We start from the raw sequence: 20,033 nt of genomic DNA on the forward strand, positions 1-20,033 counted from the left end.
GTGTGAGCCACTGCGCCCGGCCGATAATTTCCTGTTTTTTGATTATAACCATCCTAGTGGGTGTGATGTGATAACTCATTGTGCTTTTTGCTTTTATTTCCCTAATGACCAATGATGTTGAATATCTTTCATGTGCTTGGTCATTTGTTCATCTTCTTTGGGAAAATTTCTATCCAATTTCTTTGCCCATTTTTAAATTGGGTTGTCATTTTGTTGATGAGTTGTAAGGTTCTTTGTATACTCTGAATACTGAATTCTCATCAGATATATGAGTCACAAAAATTTTCTCTCATTCTGTGGGTTGTCGTTTCAGTTTCTTGAAGATATCCTCCAAAACAGAAGAGTTTTTAGTTTTGATATCCAGTTTGGTTTTTCCTTTTTTGCTTGTGCTTTTGGTGGCATATCTAGGAAATCACTGCTTAATCCAAAGTTAGGAAGATTTATGCCTATGTTTTCTTCTAAGAGTTTTAAATCTTTAGCTATATGTGTAGGTCTCTGATCCATTTTGAATTAATTTGTGTATATGAGGTATGAGGTGGGGGTACAAATTCATTCTTATGAATTTTTATTTATTTTTGGTTTAATTTTAAAGAGATGAGGTAGGTTCTCGCTATGTTGACCAGGCTGGTCTTAAAGTCCTGGCCTTAAGTGATCCTTCTGCCTAGGCCTCCCAAAGCGCTGGGATTACAGATACGAACCATTGTGCCTAGCCTTTAAAAACTGTTTTATTTATTTTTTTCAAATTCATTTTTTTCATGTGGTTATCCAGTTGTCCCAGCACCATTTGTTGGAGAGATTATCTCCTCCTGCACCTCCCACACTGAGTTTTCATGGCATCTTTGCCAAAAATCAGTTGATGATAAGTGTGATAGTTTACTTGTAAAACTCTCAATTCCATTCCAGTAACCTATATGTCTATCTTCACATCAGGACCATACTGTCTTGATTACTGTAGCTTTGTAGTAAGTTTTGAAATTGGGAAGTGTGAGTCCTCCAACTCCATTCTTCTTTTTCAGGAACATTTTTTTCCATATGAATTTTAAGACCAGTTTGCCAATTTTTGAAAAGAAGTCAGCTGGGATTTTGATAAAGATTGTGTTGAAGCCCAGATGCGGTGTGATTCATTCCTGTAATCCCAGCACTTTGGCAGGCTTAGGCGGGTGAATCACCTGAGGTCAGGAGTTAAAGACCAGCCTGGCCAACATGATAAAACCCCGTCTCTACTAAAAATACAAAAAATTAGCCAGGCGTGGTGGCAGACGACTGTAATTCAGTTACTTGGGAGGCTGAGGCAGGAGAACGGCTTGAACCCAGGCAGCGGAGGTTGCAGTGAGCCGAGATCACGTCATTGCACTCCAGCCTGGGCAACAAGAGCGAAACTCCATCTCAAAATAAATAAATAAACAAATAAATAAAGATTGTGTTGAATATGTAGATCAATTTGGAGAGTATTGCCATCTTACCAATATTAAGTTCTCCAATTCATGAACATGGGAAGTCTTTTCATGTAGTGAAGTCTTCTTTAACTTCTTTAAACAATTTTTGTGGTCATCAGAATATGAGTTTCACACTTTTTTTGTAAAATTTATTCTTAAGTAGTTCATTTTTGATACTATTATAAAGTTTCTTTCATAATTTCATTTTTGGTTTGCTCACTGCTACTGTATAGAAATAGAACTTTTTTTTTGTATTTATCCTGCATTTGTTATGGAGCTCATTTATTAGTTCTAATAGTTTCGTAGTTGATTCCATACGATTTTCTGTATACAAGATCATGTCTTCTGTGAATACAGATCATTTTACTTCTTTCTTTCCAAGCTTGATATCTTCTACTTTTGTTTCTTGTGTAATTGCCATAGCTAGAACTTCCAGTACAATGTTGAACAGAAATGGCAAAAGTGGACATCCTTGTCTTATTCCTGATGTTAGGGATGAAGCAGTCAGTCTTTCACCATTAAATATAGTAGCTTTGGGTTTTCAATATCTTCTATCAGGTTGATAAAGTTTCCTTCCATTCTTAGTTTGTCACACATTTTTATCACAAAGCCTGTTGAATTTTGTCAAATGCTTTTACTAGATTAGAATGATCATGTGATCTTTGTCTTTTATTCTGTTGATGTGATTGTTACATTGATTTATGGGTGGTAAACCAATCTTACATTTCTGGGTAAAATCCAAATATTTCTTTTTTTTTCCTTTTCTCTGACAGGGAATTGAACCTGGGCTGTGGCAGTGAGAGTGCTGAATTCTAACCACTAGACAAGCAGGGACCAAATACATATTTCTTAAATTGAATTTATCATGAGCACATTATATGAGGATTGGGTAAAAAGTAACTAAAAAAATGGCCAAAGAAACAAGATGGAAAATAACTTCCATTTTCAGATAGTAACTATTTAGGAAACATTGAAACTTTGGAAGTGAAATTGTTATTGTGTAAATATTTTAAAAAAGCATGTTTATACATCTTTCACACTCTTTGAGTCTTATATTTTTCCTTTAAAGTCTTGGAACTAGACCTTTATGATATTCTAAATTTAATAACACTTAACAACTTGCCCTAAATATCCCTACTTTATAACAATTACTGTAGTGGTTTCCTCATAGATTTGTTTTTTCCCCATCCCCCACACCCTTCCCAAGTACACACCCTTCCCAAGTATTATCCCAAGTGAGACTATCATTATCATCTATTATTCTTATTGGACATTTTAAAGTACCTGTACAAAAATGGCATTAGTTAGGGATATAGTAAAGTTACTTCTAGTCTTTTAATTGGCTTCTGCCCTTGGCGCTGTTTGAGCAAAGAGAAGAGACCCTCATAGAGAACTCTAAGGACAAAAAAACTTACTTTTAATTGTGACCCCAAGAATTATCAATATCTCTATTAACAGAGACAAGGGCTTCATCTTCTCTTAAGCAGCTTCTCTTCACTGTAACACAGGCAGAAACTAGGTGATTGGCCCAAGAGCTCCTCTTCTCAGGGACTGTGGTGGGGGCAGGAGTCAGTTGCTAAGCAACCATTTCCTTACTCTTGGGCCAATGGGCTGCCAGAGTGTTCCTTTCAAGCCGGAATGAAGGCAGCTGCTGGAGAATGTAGGCTGTGGAAAGGATCCACTGCTATTCCTCTGGCTGAAGATAAGGGGTAGGCTAGAAATTAGGGGTGGCTCTCTAACATGAAAGGAAGGGACCAGAAGTCCGACTCGTACGTGTCCACACGTTCAACTGTGTTCAGGGGTGCTGGAAGTTCTTATTTTTATGTTGCCTCTAGAGGTACAAACTACACTTATGTAAAAACACAATTAAGGTACATGAACTGATCTGACATCATCCTGTAAGCTGGTATCTCTAGGCTATGGCGGAAAAGAAACAATGGGCCAAGTCTGCTTTGTTCCCAATCTGGATGAAAATCTTTATCCTCTTTTCCAGTTAGAAACTGCTGAGGATTTACTGGAACAAAGGCAAACAAAGACTGTTTAACAATGTCTTTACATACCTCAGATAATACAGACATCTCACAAGTGGTACCTTCAAAGCTACGAGAAATCAAAATGAATATTTAGGGAAAACATATAAATATTAAAAATATCCAAGGCACAGAGCTAGTTGAGAAATTATGCCTACAAAAAATATCCAACTTTTACAGTCTGTCCAGGTCATTACTTTAGAAATAGACATTTTATTGTTTTGAATTTACAGTTTTATTCCTTTTATTAGTTTCCCATTGCTGTGATAACAAATTACCACAAACGTAATGGGTTAAAACAACAGGAATTTATTCTCTCATAGTTCTAGAGACCAGAATTCCAAAACCATTCTTACAGGGCTAAAATCAAAGACAAGGCTAGCTCCTCCTGGAGGCTCCAGGGAAGAATCCATTCTTGGCCTGGAATTTTTCAGCTTCTAAGTGGCTGCCAGCATTCCTTGATTTGTGACCACATCATTTCAGTCTCTGCTCAGTCATCACTTGCCTTCTGTAGTTTAATCTCCCTTTGTGCCCCTCTTATAAAGATACTTGTGATTACATTTAGGGCCCACCAACATGATCCAGAACAATCTCTCTCTCTCTCAAGATCCTTAATGTTGGCTGGGCGTGGCAGCTCACACTTGTAATCCCAGCACTTTGGGAGCCTAAGGCAGTTGGATTACTTGAGGCCAGGAGTTCGAGACCAGGCTGACCACCATGGCGAAACCCCGTGTCTACTAAAAATACAAAAATTAGCTGGACGTGGTGGTATGCGCCTGTAGTTTCAGGTACTCAGGAGGCTGAGGCATGAGAAGTGCTTGAATCCTGGGGCCAGGGGCCTGAGGGGTGGAGGTTGCAGTGAGCAGAGATTGTGCCACTGCAATGCAGCCTGAGCGACAGAGTGAGACTCCATCTCAAAACAACAACAACAAACCCAAACTTCTTTATAGGAAAATCAATGAGCAATGAAGGCATATAAGGGGAAGCGGCAAACAAAGGTCAGGTAGGGTCAGAGTCAGGGAAGGCTTTGCTAGGGAGTGATGTTCAAGCTGAAATATGAAGAACGAGAGTGAGTCAGCTAAACAAATCATGTCCCAGGTGTTGCAATGAACATGTTAAGAGGCTATGTGGGCTGGGTGCCGTGGTTCATGCCTGTAATCCCAGTACTTTGGGAGGCTGAGGCAGGTGGGTCATCTGAGGTCAGGAGTTCAAGACCAGCCTGGCCAACATGGTGAAATCCCGTCTCTACTAAAAATACAAAAATTAGCCGGGCATGGTGGTAGATGCCTGTCATCTCAGCTACTCGGGAGGCTGAGGCAGGAGAATTGCTTGAACCTGGGAGGCAGAGGTTGCAGTGAGCCAAGATCGCGCCATTGCATTCCAGCCTGGGCAACAAGGGTGAAACTCCGTCTCAAAAAAGAAAAAGGCTATATGGTGTTCCAGAACATGAAATGATGCTCTGTGGGCTGGAATCAGAGACTGGGGAATGGGGGTGGTATGGAGCATAGTATAAAATAAGGCTGGGTTAGTAGGTGATAGTCACTCCATTCTTAATAATTTAATTGTTATAAAAAGACTGTATTAGCCTGTATGCAACAAAATAATATAGACTGGGTGACTTTACACAGCAGAAATTAATTTTCTCAGTTCTGATGGCTAGAAATCTGAGACCAGGTTCTGGTGAGGGTCTTCTTCCTGCTTGCAAGATGGCTACCTTCTTGCTGTGTCCTCATATAGCAGGGAAAGGGGGTGGGAGGAGAGGATGAAAGAGATCTCCCTCTTCTTATAAGGCCTCAGTCCTATTAACCTCACTCACCCTTATGACCTCATTTAAACTTAATTACTTCGTAAAGACCTAATCTCCACATTTAGTCACATTGGAGATTAGGGCTTCAACATATGAATTTTGGGTGCACGTAAGTCAGTCCATAGTAAAGACCACCAGAAAGTCATTGAATGACTTACAGAAGTGAGAAGACGTGATCACTTCTGACAAGGTATCACTAGATGCAGTCTAGACAATGGACAGAAGAGGGGCAACAGTGGGCATGAAGGCCACTTAGGAAGTCTTTGCAATAGTCCAGCTAAATTCAGACTAAGTTTACTGCAATGCTGTTGGAAAGTAGTGATTCCAGACTTATACAGACCGCTCAATAAAATTGCGTAGGTATAGCAACCGATTTGATATGAGAGTGAAGTTATAAGAGGTACCAGGGATGGTGCTTAGGTTTCCAGATTTTTCAACTAAACGGGTAATGGAGCCATTCGAAGAGATGGGGAAAACTGGGAGAAGGAGCATGAGTTCAGTTTGGTACACGGCACATTTCAAGTACTTTAGGGATGTTAAATATTTAACAGTTTTGAATGATAATGGTATTTTGTCAGAGTGATTAATACTAAATGCTGGAACAAATGCCCTCTACATACTTTTAATGTGCTTTCACACAATAAAAGTTCCAGTTCTTTGAGCTGACATGAAAGAAAAGATAATCAATAGTGTAATGTTCCTAAGAAAGCACATGTGGAAGGACTGGCTGGAGGCTGGAGTGCAAACAGCTTCTCTGTTGAAGGGAAGGTGTCTAGTATGATGTACTTGTCTTACCTTTCACATTTCTACATAAGAAGTCAATATCTTTTCTACAAAATCTGCAACTGTTCCCATATTGCTTAATATTAGCATTGCTATTTTGCCCCCTTACCCATCCTATGAAATGTTTTTCTTTTCTTCCTCACCTTTCTTTCAAAATCTATTGCATTATCAGGTTTTATTTATTCTTCCCTGGTAATGTCTCTAATCAAAGACCTCTTTCTATTTCTAGTGCCAATAAATAAGTACATATTTTTATTACTAGCTCAAATGTCACTTCCTTCTTGAAGCCTTCTTTATTTATCCCAAATCTATTTTTTTTCGTATTTCACAGCATTAAAAGAAAAACAGGCTGGGCACGGTGGCTCACGCCTGTAATCCCAGCACTTTGGGATCACTTGAGGTCAGGAGGTCAAGACCAGCCTGGCCAACACGGTGAAAACCCATGTTTACTAAAAAAATACAAAATTAGCCAGGCATGGTGGCGCATGCCTGTAATCTCAGCTACTCCAGAGGCTGAGGCAGGAGAATTGCTTGAACCTGGCAGAAAGAGGTTGCAGTGAGCTGAGATGGAGCCATTGCCCTCCAGCTGGGGGACAAGAGTGAAACTCTGCCTCAAAAAAAAAAAAAAAAAAAAAAAAAGACAAAACAAAAATTACCTTACCATGTTGTGAATCATCCTTATGAGAGTGTCCTACTACTAAAAATATTCCATTCTTTACAATTCTTTTTGGGGCCTCCCCCCTTTCTTCCTTTTCTCTTCTATTATTTTTTAAAAATGTGTTCCAAATAATTATTTGCCCAATATATATAACAAGTACCCAAACTGCCAAATAAATGTGGATTTACAACATCCACTCAATTAGCCTTGAAGATGATCTGATATATAGAAACACAACAAATTTGGGGGGAGGGTACCAAACTTCTAAATTATAGGTCACCCTACTCATGTGGCGGACTTTAGTGAAACTGGATTTTCAGAACCCGCCAGGTGAGTATTATCCAGAATCAAGCCAGCTTTTTGGACCTGCGTCTTAACATTAAGCAATTGGTAGAATAAAGTAAGACCACTCGGCTCTGGTTAACAGGCATCTGGATTTGTTTTGACGTAAGACGTGTTTTCAATATAACATTTTGGTTGTCCGCAACTTCTTGGTTCTTAAAACCGTCTTGAGTATCGCAGTCTACATTTGTTCTTTCTAAACTTCACCAAATTCCAATGAAATTTGTAATTTTCACTACAGGTTTGAGGAGCCAACTGCATACGATGTGGAACCATTTGCCAATACTTTCATTTCTTTTGGTCTTTTTTAGTTGCCCACCCAGAGGAAAGCATCAGATTACCTGGTGAAAATCCTCCTCAACAGGGCAGTTGGAGTGAGCACGGACAATTCGTGTTGACCCTCGGTCTCCTCCCACTTCTACATCCTCCAAGTCCCTGAGGCGGCTTTCCGCTAGCTCGCCTGTCACTTGGCGCACCTGGCTCTACAGGCCACGCCCTCAAGTCTTCCAAGAGGCCAGCGGTAAGCGCGGTCCACCTCCCTCTCCCACTAGGCGTCGGCTTCACGCCGCGCCCACGTCTCGAGGACAGCTCCAGCCCCCTCGCTCCCTGGCTCCGCCCCCTCGCTCCCTGGCTCCGCCCCCTCCAGCTCCCTAGCGTCGTCGGCGTCGAGCCCGAGCCTGCGCCTGCGCGTGCGCCCTGGGGCCCAAGTTGGGGCGCGCCGTGGCTAGAACACGGAGAGCGGCGGGCAGTGCAGCCAATGGGAGGCGGCGCTGCCTAGCGGCTGGTAGGCGGTGCCTGCGCGGGTGTTAGGTTAGCGCGAGGCGTGACCTAGTTGACAGGCTCTGAGGTGCTGCTGTGGCGGCGTCCGCGGGGCTGAGGCGGGTGGGAGCCGGAGCCGAGCGCGGGCTGAGGGAGGAGGGCGGCGACTGGAGAGCGGCGAGCGGCGAGCAGCGCAGGACGCAGAGCCTCTTTCACTTTTTCCCTGCTGAGTGCCCCCTCCCACCCCTCCCACTCCACACACACCCTGTTTGCCCGTGAGCCTGGGGAACTTGCAGCTTAAAGCCAGCCACCCCCACGGCAACATGTACCCCAGCAACAAGAAGAAAAAGGTGTGGAGAGAGGAGAAAGGTAACCGGCCCGTCGAGTCCTGGGGGTGCGGGCGGTGGGGGTTAGGGTGGGGGCGGGGGTCAGGCTGTGTGTGCCGCGGCGCCCTCCGCCCGAGCTCCCGCCTCGCGCCCTCCCGGCCGGTGCCGCCTCCCTCCGGTGTCCGTGTGTACACACGCGCACACTCGCGCGCACTCCGGCGTGCACGCGCCGCCCCTGGGCACCTGCAGCTCGCGCACGTGTGGGCGCACGCCCCTCTCTGTTGCCCTCGGCACCCCGTCACCTTCTCCCGAGGCGGTGCTGCGTTCGCCTCGCTTGCGGCGGGGACCCCCAGGCGGCAGCCCCGGGCGCGGCACAAGTTCCTCTGCACCGCAGCTGGGACTTGGGCACTGCCGGCCTGGGTGTCCCGCGGACAGGTGCCCGTCGGCGGGCGCTCAGGCTGCAGCTGCCGCTGTGCCTCCGCGCTCCGTGCACCCTCATTTCTTTCCTTCTCGCCCCTGTCCCCCCAGCCCCCGAATGGCAAAGCGTACCCACCATCGGGTGTTTACCCCTTGTCTAGGTTTCCTTCCTTCGCTGCCGCAGCGTGACTTTTGAAACCTGGAACTCTAGGGGAGCCCTAAAACGAGCGTGTTGTCCGTGAGGATAAGTGCCTTCAGAGAAGTCTGAATGGGCTGTTCTCCCAACAGTGTGTTTCTCTGTATTCCATCCCCATTCATGGGCTGAAGTTGCTCAGAGTAAGATTTTGTGACTAATGTCACTCTGTATGAACCCATCTCTGAATTTTGTGCGTATAAGGTTTATCTAAATCAGCTAGATTGACAGTGGCACTGATTCTTTAAGAAACACAAGTGTACGATCCAGCGTCTCCCACCAAGATCTCCCGCTTATCCCATCACAGTTTGGTAATATTCTAACTTGAGTGTCTCTGGCGTTTTTCACCCTCCTTTTCACACCTCTTTCCTTTTCATTCTTTAGCTATTTACAGAAATGTAGCAAAAACTTCTTGCACTCCTATTGCTAAAATAAACTAAAACCTGTATAGCAAGGGTGAGGTCTATTGAGGGTAGTGCGCATTTCTCCTGGTACCTCATCTTTACAAAAGGATATAGGGGTGACTAGGTATCAAGTTGATTTCCTTGTTAATAGTTCGTTAAAACCTGTAGATTTTTATTGCAAGTCCCGGCCTTTATGAACACGAAGGCAAAACAGTGGAGGTAAGAAAGGGAATTAATGTGGAAAAAGAATCCACTATATAGGATCGGCTTCCACAATGCACGAACAAAGGCGTGAGGAGGGAATTTTTTTTTTCAAATTTACTGCAGGAAGATTTAATAATAGAACCGAACAACACAATTAAAATGATCTTTAAAAATGTTGAAAGTTTAGTCATTTAATTATGTTTTAATAATTATGGGTTTATAGAGAGCTAACACTTCTGGTGTTATAAATCAAATGCTGTCGAGAGTAATAGCCTGATAGATAAAGTAGTGTAAAATAATTTTGCTTTGTTTTTTTCAGTAGTAGTTACTTTAGTTTCAACACACTTTCAACAAGGATTTGCCTTGTGAGCACTGAAAAATCATTTATGCCCATGTTTATTGATGATGCTGAAATGTTCGCTTTGTATAATTGATGATAATGAGGGCAAAACAGTGGAAGACATAGACATTGTTTTCAGTAACATGAATCATTGATGAAATTATAGTGAGTACTTAAGAACTATTTTTCTGTCATAATAGAAAAACAGTGTTCCTCAAGTAATAACGTTATAATGTTTCCTTCATTTAACATCTACACAGTTGGACTGTGACCAGCAGGCATTTTAGAATCTTTTTTAATGTCTTGATTTCTTTTCTTCTAATAATGGAGAATATATAACCAATTTTTTTTCCTAAGGAAGCAAATGCACCATTAAATAAGGCAATTAACAAGTAATTATCCAAAACTAAGTTATTTTTGCATGAAGTTTAATGTTAAAGGAAAACGTTACTGCGATACGAAGACTTTAATGCATATCTCAGTGTTTCTTTTTTTCAGGATGTCTATGTTTGGAATATTTAAATATAAAATATATATTATACCCCCAAGGAAGAGCTAAGGATTTCTAGTACCATAGTTAGTATTAGAGAAGCTGATGGGATGCATGACCTTTTTCCTTTCAGCCCACTGGGAAGCTGATGGTATAGTATTTTTGCAGCTGTCCTTTAAAGCTAAAGGAAGGCTTACCTACCTCATTGAAATGTCAAGGCATTCTATAAACATATTTTTAACTCAGTATACCATTTAATAAATAGGTCTGCCTACTTAATTGCTTGGTTCACAGAGAAAGGACTCATTGTAAAGGTGAAGCATTCTTTAAATAAAAGTTTTATGAAATGACAAAGAAAATGCATATATATTTGTGGCCTCCAGTATGTTTCATTGTTTAAACAAGTAATTAAGGAGTTCTGAAGACCACATATGTTTAAATAAACATGTTTGATCTAGTATTTTGAGTCCTAATTCAGAACCACTAATGTGCATTTTCAAGTATTGCAACTTATTTCATTGTTTTGTTTTAAATTGATCTCGTTTTTAAGTGTTCACACTTCAACTTTTAAATAACTGGAACAACAGAGGCCAGGTTGCATTTCTGTATGTACCTTTTGACATTCACAAAAACTGTCAGTTGCTTCATAATGTCTTTTAACCTGCTCAGTAATATTGTAATAATTTTTTATTTGTGATCTGAGCTTTTTTAGCACTGCTTTGGCATACTGCTAATCATCTCCCTTTTCTGCCTTTATGTGATAATTCTAAATTTACCATTCCCTTCAAGTTTCCTGTTCTCTCAAGACCCTATCCCCCATACTAAAGAGATGACATTGCCTTTTTAATTCACAGAGAAGGGCTAGGCGCGGTGGCTCACACCTGTAATCCCAGCACTTTGGGAGGCTGAGGCGGGTGGATCATGAGGTCAGGAGATTGAGACCATCCTGGGGAACACGGTGAAACCCCGTCTTTACTAAAAATACAAAAAATTAGCCGGTCGTGGTGGCACACGCCTGTAATCCCAGCTACTCGGGAGGCTGAGGCAGGAGAAACGCTTGAATCCAGGTGGGAGAGGTTGGAGTGAGCTAAGATCGCGCCACTGCACTACAGCCTGAATGACAGAGCAAGACTCCGTCTCAAAAAAAAAAAAAAAAAAATTCACAGAGAAAATAAATGCCATGTAATATGAACAGCCCTAACATCCTCTTGCATAGTCTCATTGGTCTGTTCCTTTACATGTCCTTTTGACTTTGTTCTATCTTAGAGGAAGGACTTTTCTTCCTTGTGTGTAAGATGAATCTTTCTGCTGTGCTCTTTATCCCATATCTTCTTTGAGTTCTTGCACCATCATGTATTCTTTCTTGGGTATGTTTAATTTCTTGGTGTCTTCAGGTTCCTCTCCATTGCCTGTAACAGTGCTCGGATCTCTTCCACCTTAGAGTCACTTTTCTTTCATAGGGCTTCACGTGAACTTGGAGTTGCTGTTCTCACTTTCCTTCTTTTGCTCAGTCCTTCATTGTCTTCTGGATTTCCGTTATATTCTAATGAAACTAATGTTCCTGAAGTCATTCAGTAGTAACAGTCATGATAGTATTCATGTAAGAATAGTTAATATTTAAGCCCCATTTGTATGCTCAGTACTATTCTTAGTAGCTTACATGGATTATCTCATTTAATTCTCACAACAACCCTATGAGGTAGGAAACTATATGAGGCGAAATATTGTGAGGTTAAGAGCTTTGAATACCAGTTGCCTGGGTTTGAGTCCTACTTATACTGCTTAACTAGCTGTGGTACTTTAGGTAAGTTATTTGACGTTGTTTATAGTTTCCTTATCTATAAGTTGGGAATAATACCTGCCTACTTACCTCGAAGGGAAACTGAAACATAAAGAGGTTAAGTAACCTACAGATTTGCACCATTTAGATTACAACTCAAACAGCTCTGTTAACCACTTTTCCTCTTTATTCCATGCTGTTGGTAACCACATTGATAAAAGCAGGTTAATGGCTAAGTAATTTTCACTTTTTCTGACCTTCCTGTAGCAGTCTGTGGTATTTCCCTTAGTGCACCTGTAGTCCCAGCTACTCAGGAGGCTGAGGCAGGAGAATCGCTTGAACCCAGGAGGCGGAGGTTGCAGTGAGCTGATATCGCGCTACTGCACTCCAGCCTGGTGACAGAGCAAGACTCTGTCTCAAGAAAAAAACAACTCTGTTTTCTGAATGTTTCCTTGTACCAGGAACTTGCACCCATGGTGACAACTACGATTTATTTCATTGTTTTCCTATTTGTGCCCACTTCCTAAATACTGTGTTTTGAGGTTTGATGCTTCCTTCCGTTCCCTCTTCTTTTTCCTTTAGGACTAGAATTTTAGGTTATATTTTCTAAAGTCTCTAGGCTAGACCACTCTTTAAATTTCCAGATTCTTGATTTCAACTTCTTCAATGTCCTATAGGTACCTTAAACTCAATTTTTGTGAATATGTCACCTCTGATTAAGATACCTTTTTTTTTTGTCTCCTAATGTGGCTGAAGTTCTAGTTATAGGAGTGGGAAAAATATTGGTTCCCCATTTTCTGTTCACTTGTGCTTACATTAATACTTCTGTAGTTTATTTCTGTGAAATAGTCTTTTAAAGTGGTTATTTTTTGAAGGTTAGATTACCTTAAACTAGATACTAACTATCCCTGCATCCATTTATCTAAACTGCAGTACCTTGTGATACACTGAAAGAGAATTGCAGAGTATGAGAAATAACTGTCTCTCTCTCTCACTCTCTACATCGTGGAGACCATTGGTATGGTATGGGAGACATGAAAGCTGACATACAGAGTGAAGAAGCCAGTGTCAGTTTATACATTGAATATTGGTAAATATTTCTTCCTTGTTTAGGTGAAAAACGAATGTAAATAGAATTATTTGCATGTTTTCCTGTGTCCTAGTGGGTTGTTTTATACACCCTCTGGGAAATGCATAATCAACTTTCAATATTAGTAGTCTATAGGATAAAGGTTAAACTGCTCACTATGGCATACAAGTCCCTGTACAGTTTTGTTTTACTTTTGTTTCCGGCTACTTTTCACTTCTGTGGCCATTCCTCTTCTCATACCATATCTTGCAGCTTCATTTAGTTATAGTATTCATACCTCCTTTGTTTACATTGTTTTGTTAGTCTGAAATGTTCTTTTTACCTCTTCATGCAAAATTCTTCCTGTCCTTTGTGAAGCAGCATACATATTACCTTTTTCGGGGAGTTTTCCTGAGAATGTAGTGTAGTACAGTGGAATAAATAACATAGGGTGTAGTCTTTGATTAATGGAGATGTTTGTCTGAATTTTAATTTTGGCTCACTTCCTGAAACCTCTCTTGCTTTGGGCAAACTACTTTGCTGTGCTTCATTTCCCTATCTGCAAAATTGGCATAATAATACTATCAATTTTATGAGTTATTAGGAAGATTATTTTAATGAGATATACATGTGAAGTACCTGGCCATAGTGAGTTCTTTATAAATGACATCCACTCTAATTCTAAGATGCAATTTGTAAAATATTTTCATTTTATCGTCAAGATATATATATTTAAAGCAATTCTTATATCATCTACACAAAGCTGTAAGTAAATTGATAGTGCAGTTGAGGAAATATCTTGGTGGTTGCCTTTTTTTGTGCTCTTACTATTTGTACATACCTGTCTTAGCATTTTATTTATATAGATACTATTTTGTATCTTACTGTGTTAGACTGTTCTTGCAGTTGCTGTAAAGAAATGCCTAAGACTGAGTAATTTATTAAAAAAAAGACGTTTAATAGACTCATGGTTCTGCAGGCAACACAAGGATAGCATTGGCATCTGTTAGGTCTTCTGGGAGGCCTCAGGGAGCTTTTACTTACAGGGCAAGATGAAGCGGAGGGAGCTTTTACTTACGGGGCAAGATGAAGTAGGAGCAGGCACTTCACGTGGCAAGAACAGTAGCACGAGAGGGTTGGGGGGAAGTGCCACACACTTTCAAACAACCAGATCTCACGAAAACTCACTATCTTGAGGCTAGCACCAGGCCATGAGGGATCTGCTCCCATGACCCAATTACCTCCCACTAGACACCATGTCACACATTGGGGATTACATTTCAACATAAGATTTCAGGGGATATATATCCAAACCATATCACTTATCCAGCATATCACCTGGCCCATAGTAAACTGTAGATGTTGCTTGAAAGTGTAAATGAGTTTACTTATTTCTTGGACTATCATAAGAGAGTCTTCATCAGGCTTTGATTTTTTTCTCCCCTGGTAATATGAAATTTAACATTTTTTAACATTTAAATATGGAGTCACTGGATTTGCATTGTGTTCTTCAGGACTGTATCAACTCTTTTGTTAGCTTAACTTGGTTAATACTTAAAGTATAAAAATAATTCCCATGTTTAAACGTTAAATACAAATGGAGATTCTGCTTTTATTTTGCAAGAACGTTTATTGAAGATGACCTTAGAAGAGAGACGCAAAGAATACCTAAGAGACTATATTCCCCTGAACAGCATTCTATCATGGAAGGAGGAGATGAAGGGCAAGGGCCAAAATGATGGTAAGTTTCTCGGAACATTTTTTAGGTAGATATTTTTCCCATTTTAGGACAATTGTTGACAGAAATGAATAACTGGCGTTCAATAAAGAGATTACTATTTTGCTATTTGAAATTATTGTTTGGTTGTGATTTAATTGTTTTTAGTAACCTACGGTGTTTTTTAAACTTAGGAAAGTATATTAACATAATTTGTGTTCTGAAATATACCACATTTATAATATGGTACTTTTTTTACAGGTCCTTTTTTATTTTTTCTATTCTGTAACAGTTCTTGGAGCAAATGCTATTAGAGATTTGCTGCTTTGGTGGTGTGGCCCTTTGAGTTTGCTTTAAGTTCATTTATAATCGATTATCTTATGTTATTTTTAGGATTGGGGATACAGCTGAAAGAGAGAGTATATTAGGAAAAATAGAAAAACCAAAGAACATTTCTCATTATTTTAGAGAATATATTTTGTATGATGTGTTATTATGTCTGTATGTAAAGTATTTGTATGACAGAATTTACTCTCAAAGTCTTTATGATTTGGTGGGAATCTAGATTATGTTAGAATATAAAGGAAGTTTTAAGGATTAAAAAGGTACGTGAAAAAGTTTCTAAAAACAACATAATAGATTTAATGGATGTTTAATATGCTTGTCTTTGAATTAACACTCGTTGGTATTAATGATCTGGATGTGAAGTTTAGACAAACGGTGCTTCTTAAGGTGCTTAACAGTTGAGAAAGACTTTATGAAATGGACTTGAAACATGCTAATTTCAAAGGTTGTGGTCTTAGATCGATGGAACTACACCGGGTACTATGGGCCCAGAATAAAGACTAGCATGGAATTCCTATGGATAAAATCTGAAGGGAAAGATTAGGCCTTGGTGTCTGTGAAGAGAACACATTGACCTGAGGATTTGGGTTTTAGACACAACTTTGTTTTTCTAGAAAGGCAAAGCATGTGGGATTAGCAGTGAAAAGCTGTGGGTTCTTTTAGACCTTACGTAGCCTGGAAACGTGTGACCTTGGGCAAGCGGGGTAGCAGCTCTACCCCACGTTCTAATGGGGTCATTGGACAAGCTGATTGGGATGTGCACATCTGACCTGTCTGCCCAGTGTCTTCTGTAAATGCAAGTTGTTTTAAGAATGGTCTGATTCCAAACTGATAAGATTGGCCTTAAGAAGCCCCTGCCTGATCACGTGAGCATCATGGAACCCAAAGATGATTTGCTGCCCACCACCCCGTCTCAGAACAGAAGGGTGGGAAGCCAGAGCCACCTGCATTGCCCTAGCCAGTCCCCACAGTGTAACAGGGTCTCCTTGGCAGCTGTATTCTGGAGTCTGGTTGTTGCTCTGTAAAGACCTTTAATAAAATCTTGTACAAAGGTTAAAAAAAAAAAAGGTCTGGTTAAGACATCATTGAAAGAGAGGAGAGTGCTGTGTAATGAAAAGAATACAGGGCTAGAAATCAGGAGAACAGAATTCTGGTCCTCTGTCTTACCTAAGGCTATGTGCCTCTTCATGTTTGAGTCTCAGTAATTTCTTTTTTTGTTTATAAGCAACTGGTATTGAATATTTCAGCAGCAGCACTATCTTCTTCTTTTTTTTAAATGGCTACAGGTCGAGTATCCCTTATCCAAAATGCACAGGACCAGAAGTGTTTGGGGTTTTGGATTGTTTGGATTATACTTGCTGGTTCAGCATTCCTAATCCAAAATCCAAAATGTTCCAGTGAGCATTTCCTTTGAGCATTATGTTGGTGCTCAAAAAGTTTCAGATTTTGGAGCATTTGGGATTTTGAATTTTTGCATTAGGACTACTCAACCTGTAGTAAATGTTCCCCAAATTAGAAAAGAATACATTGAATAGAATAACACCTAACATAGTTATCCTCTAACAAGATATTGCATGTTTAATCCTGCCTCCCAATATGAGCTTTATAAGTGGTTACAACTGCTCTGTGTGTTTCTTATTTTCCCCCTTATGCTGTTTTAAACTTGAAAGTCCTCCATGGGGAACAAGGTGATGTGATCAAAATTATATTTCTATTTTTCCTGAAATGTTACTTGCTTCTCTCTGTTGTGACCCAGACTCTGGTGAATGGCCTCTTCCTTTTTCATGAAGTGGAATGGCTCATTTTACAAGTAATATTTGTAAATATTTATATACAATACACATTTTTCATATGACTTTTTCTTGTGTTACCTATTCAGTGCTCAGTTATTAAAAAATATTAGTCAAGAGAGTTTTAGTGTTTTAACAGTTTAAAAATCCTTTAAAAATATAAATTTACAAAAAATAATAAAGGAAAACTATACATATGGTTATATTTGAAACGTTTTAAGTCATTGCTTATACATGTATAAGTAGGTATTGATATTTATTAAATATGGGATTTTAAACTAAGTATTAAAAGAATTCTATAATTCCTTGTCACTTAGTTTCTAATTATAGGAAATGAACAATATTTATCGGGTTAGAACAGTATATCAGTTTTAAATTTAATATCTTATCATTACTTACGTTTTTATAGAGGACCATTTTTGCCTAAATATTCCTGAGTACTTGAATAGTTCTTGAGCTATTGCTTTTAATTTTTTTCTTGCTTTGTTCAGATTTATTTTACTTTAACCAAATGCTTCTTGTTATTATAATACAATAGAAAGTTAAATAAAAAAGAGGGGAGCAGCCAAATATATTTGTAACAATTTGGATTTTAAGCCTTCTTGAAACAAAAGGAAACAAAATATTGCCAAGGAACACAAAATCAGTGTTTATATGGAAAGGGGGAAGCAAGTTTTATTTTGACTTACCCCTTTGGTAATATTGGAAAGCCATGGATTGGAAGAGGAAAGAATGGGAGATGATTACCAAAAAATAAAAATAAAAAAACCCAAAAAACAAAAACCCCATCCAGAAAAACCCATTAAATACATAATTTGCTTGCTGTTTATGTTCATATTTATTAACTGTTGTTAGCTAATTTCTAGACTTACATATTTCTAATTCTTCCTCTGTGTTACCAATTATGTAATAATTCAATATCATTTGTCAGTTGCTATGTTGTGGGGATTTTAAAATTCTTGTCTCTCCTATTGTACTGTCTCTAGCACCTGGAATGGTGCCTTATGGGTTGGTGGGGCTTAATCGTAAGTTAAATAAGAATGCCTGAAGAGTTAATAATCTACAAGGGACAATTCTTTCTCCAAACTTTTTTTTTTTTTTGAGACTGAGTCTCACTTACTTTGTGCCCCGGGCTGGAGTGCAGTGGCGCGATGTGGGCTCACTACAACCTCCACCTCCTGGCTTCAAGCAATTCTCCTGCTGAGCTCCTGAGTAGCTGGGATTATAGATGCGTGCCACCACGCCTGACTAATTTTTGTATTTTTTGTGGAGATGGGCTTTCACTGTGTTGGCCAGGCTGGTCTTGAACTCCTGACCTCAAGTGATCTGCCCATGTTGGCCTCCTAAGGTGCTGGGATTACAGACGTGAGCCACTGCACCTGCCTCTTTTTCCAAACTTTTAATGAGCATTTATAAATATATGTAAAGCTAGAATACAGTCATGTGCCACAAAATGATGTTTTGGTCATTGACATCCTGCATATATGATGGTGGTCCCATAAGATTATAATACTGTATTTTTACTATGCCTTTTCTGTGTTTACGTAGGTTTAAATACACAATGACTTACCATTGTGTTATAGTTGCCTACAGTATTCTGTACAGTAACATGCTGTATGGGTTTTAGCCTAGGAGCAATTGGCTGTACCATATAATCTAGGTGTGTATAGACTGTGTACCATCTAGATTTTTGTAGTATACCTTACAATGTTTGCACAGCAATGAAATCACCTAACAACGCCTTTCTCAGAACGTATTCCATTGTTAAGCAATGCCTGACTGTAGCAATGCATCCATTACCCAGTTTCAACAGTTATTACACGGCCAATTTTATTTCATCTATACCAGTGCTCCCTATACCTTCCCCCCAGACTATTTTGAATGAAATCACATATGTCATATAAATTTTATCTATAAATGAGTATCTGTGTATATGCATATGTATGTATCTCTAAAAGATGGCATATTTTTGTTGTTTTACTAAAATACTATTATTACCTCTCACATTTAAAATTTAACTTAAAATTTAATTTTGATATAATTAAATATCCACTTAGTATTCATGTTTTTCCCATTGTCTCATAAAGGATTTTTTCTTTTACAATTGATTTGCTTGAATCAAGATCTAATCAAGGTCCATATATTGCATTTAATTGATTTGTTCCTTAAGTCACTTTTAATCTATAGTTACCTTTCTCTGTCCTTTTTTCCTTCCTCCCTTATAATTTATTTGTTGAATACACTAGGCTGTCCTGCAGAATTTTTTATATTTTGAATTTTGCTTACTGCATCTCTGTGGTATCATTGAACATGTTCCTCTGTCCCCTTTATTTCTTATGAGTTGGTAGTTAAATCCAGAGGTTTGTTCAGAGTGGGGTTTAAATTTTTTTGAAATAATGCTTTATAGATTATTGTACATCTTTTTGCATCATATCACAGGGCACATAATGCGTCATTGTCTCCCTCAGTAGTGATAAGATTGATCCCTGGGTTCATGTATTGTCAGCTGAATATTGTCACTAAACTGTCTGGTGTAAAGTTCTCTGACAACCTTTTACCTAATGGTTTTAGCAGCCATTCGTGATTATTGCTTAGATCCATTACGTTATTAGGGGTTGCAAAATAGTGGTATGTGAATTTTATCATTCCTTATTTATTTGTCAGACTTCTATAAAGAGGAACTTTCTGTTATTAAGTCTTTTATTATGCAGTACGGTTTATAAAGGAAAGCAGAATAAATGCCATATTTCCCTTATTTACTGATTTTCAGATTGAGTTCATTCCCTAAAATCCTCCACAGGTGACCAAAGAGTCCTTTTTTTAAAATTTTTGACTATCATTTTCAATTTGCCCCTTCCTTCTCTCCTCTTCTCTGTCTCTTCCTCCCTCTTCCTCCCTCTCAACATGTATATTAAATGAGAATGTCCCAGTGGTTAACAGTCTACAAAGGAGGCATATACGTGTGTGTTTGTGCATGCGCGTGCATGTATTTATAGCTCCCATATAAAATACATAGAATTACTAAACAATAGGCCCAGGATATGGTAGAAAGACAAAGGTAGATATATAAATGGGTGGATGGGTAGATATGATAGAAAGATGGCATTACTTCTTTGTTGAGACAAGAGTTCTAGTTCTTGGGT

The 20,033-nt window shown here is 39.4% G+C and overlaps 2 protein-coding genes and 2 pseudogenes across 24 annotated transcripts in view; 2 read left to right on the forward strand and 2 right to left on the reverse strand.

The window, feature by feature from the left end:
- SEL1L2 (SEL1L2 adaptor subunit of SYVN1 ubiquitin ligase) overlaps window positions 1-7,708 on the reverse strand; it is a 146,087-nt gene extending 138,379 nt beyond the window's left edge. For 18 of the 21 annotated variants that reach the window (NR_073206.2, XR_937162.2, XR_937159.2 and 15 more), the window contains exon 1: window positions 2,852-2,989. Coding sequence is in view for 13 of the 21 variants with exons in the window: in NM_001271539.2 (NP_001258468.1) it covers window positions 2,852-2,909 (58 nt within the window). In the remaining 8 variants the exon portion in view is untranslated. Of the gene's footprint in view, window positions 1-2,851; window positions 2,990-7,397 lie in introns of those variants that run through there. The other 3 variants (NR_073207.2, NM_001363752.2, XM_047440521.1) reach the window with 1 other exon arrangement.
- Window positions 2,199-2,270, reverse strand: TRE-CTC10-1 (tRNA-Glu (CTC) 10-1; annotated as a pseudogene).
- MACROD2 (mono-ADP ribosylhydrolase 2) overlaps window positions 7,891-20,033 on the forward strand; it is a 2,057,682-nt gene continuing 2,045,539 nt past the window's right edge. For all 3 annotated transcript variants that reach the window (NM_001351661.2, NM_001351663.2, NM_080676.6), the window contains exons 1-2: window positions 7,891-8,184; window positions 14,663-14,779. In NM_001351661.2, coding sequence (NP_001338590.1) covers window positions 8,139-8,184; window positions 14,663-14,779 — 163 coding nt within the window. In that variant the 5' untranslated portion in view covers window positions 7,891-8,138. The remainder of the gene's footprint in view (window positions 8,185-14,662; window positions 14,780-20,033) is intronic.
- On the forward strand, window positions 15,884-16,075 carry RPS3P1 (ribosomal protein S3 pseudogene 1; annotated as a pseudogene).

This window comes from Homo sapiens, chromosome 20, assembly GCF_000001405.40.
Source record: "Homo sapiens chromosome 20, GRCh38.p14 Primary Assembly".
NCBI lineage: Eukaryota > Metazoa > Chordata > Mammalia > Primates > Hominidae > Homo > Homo sapiens.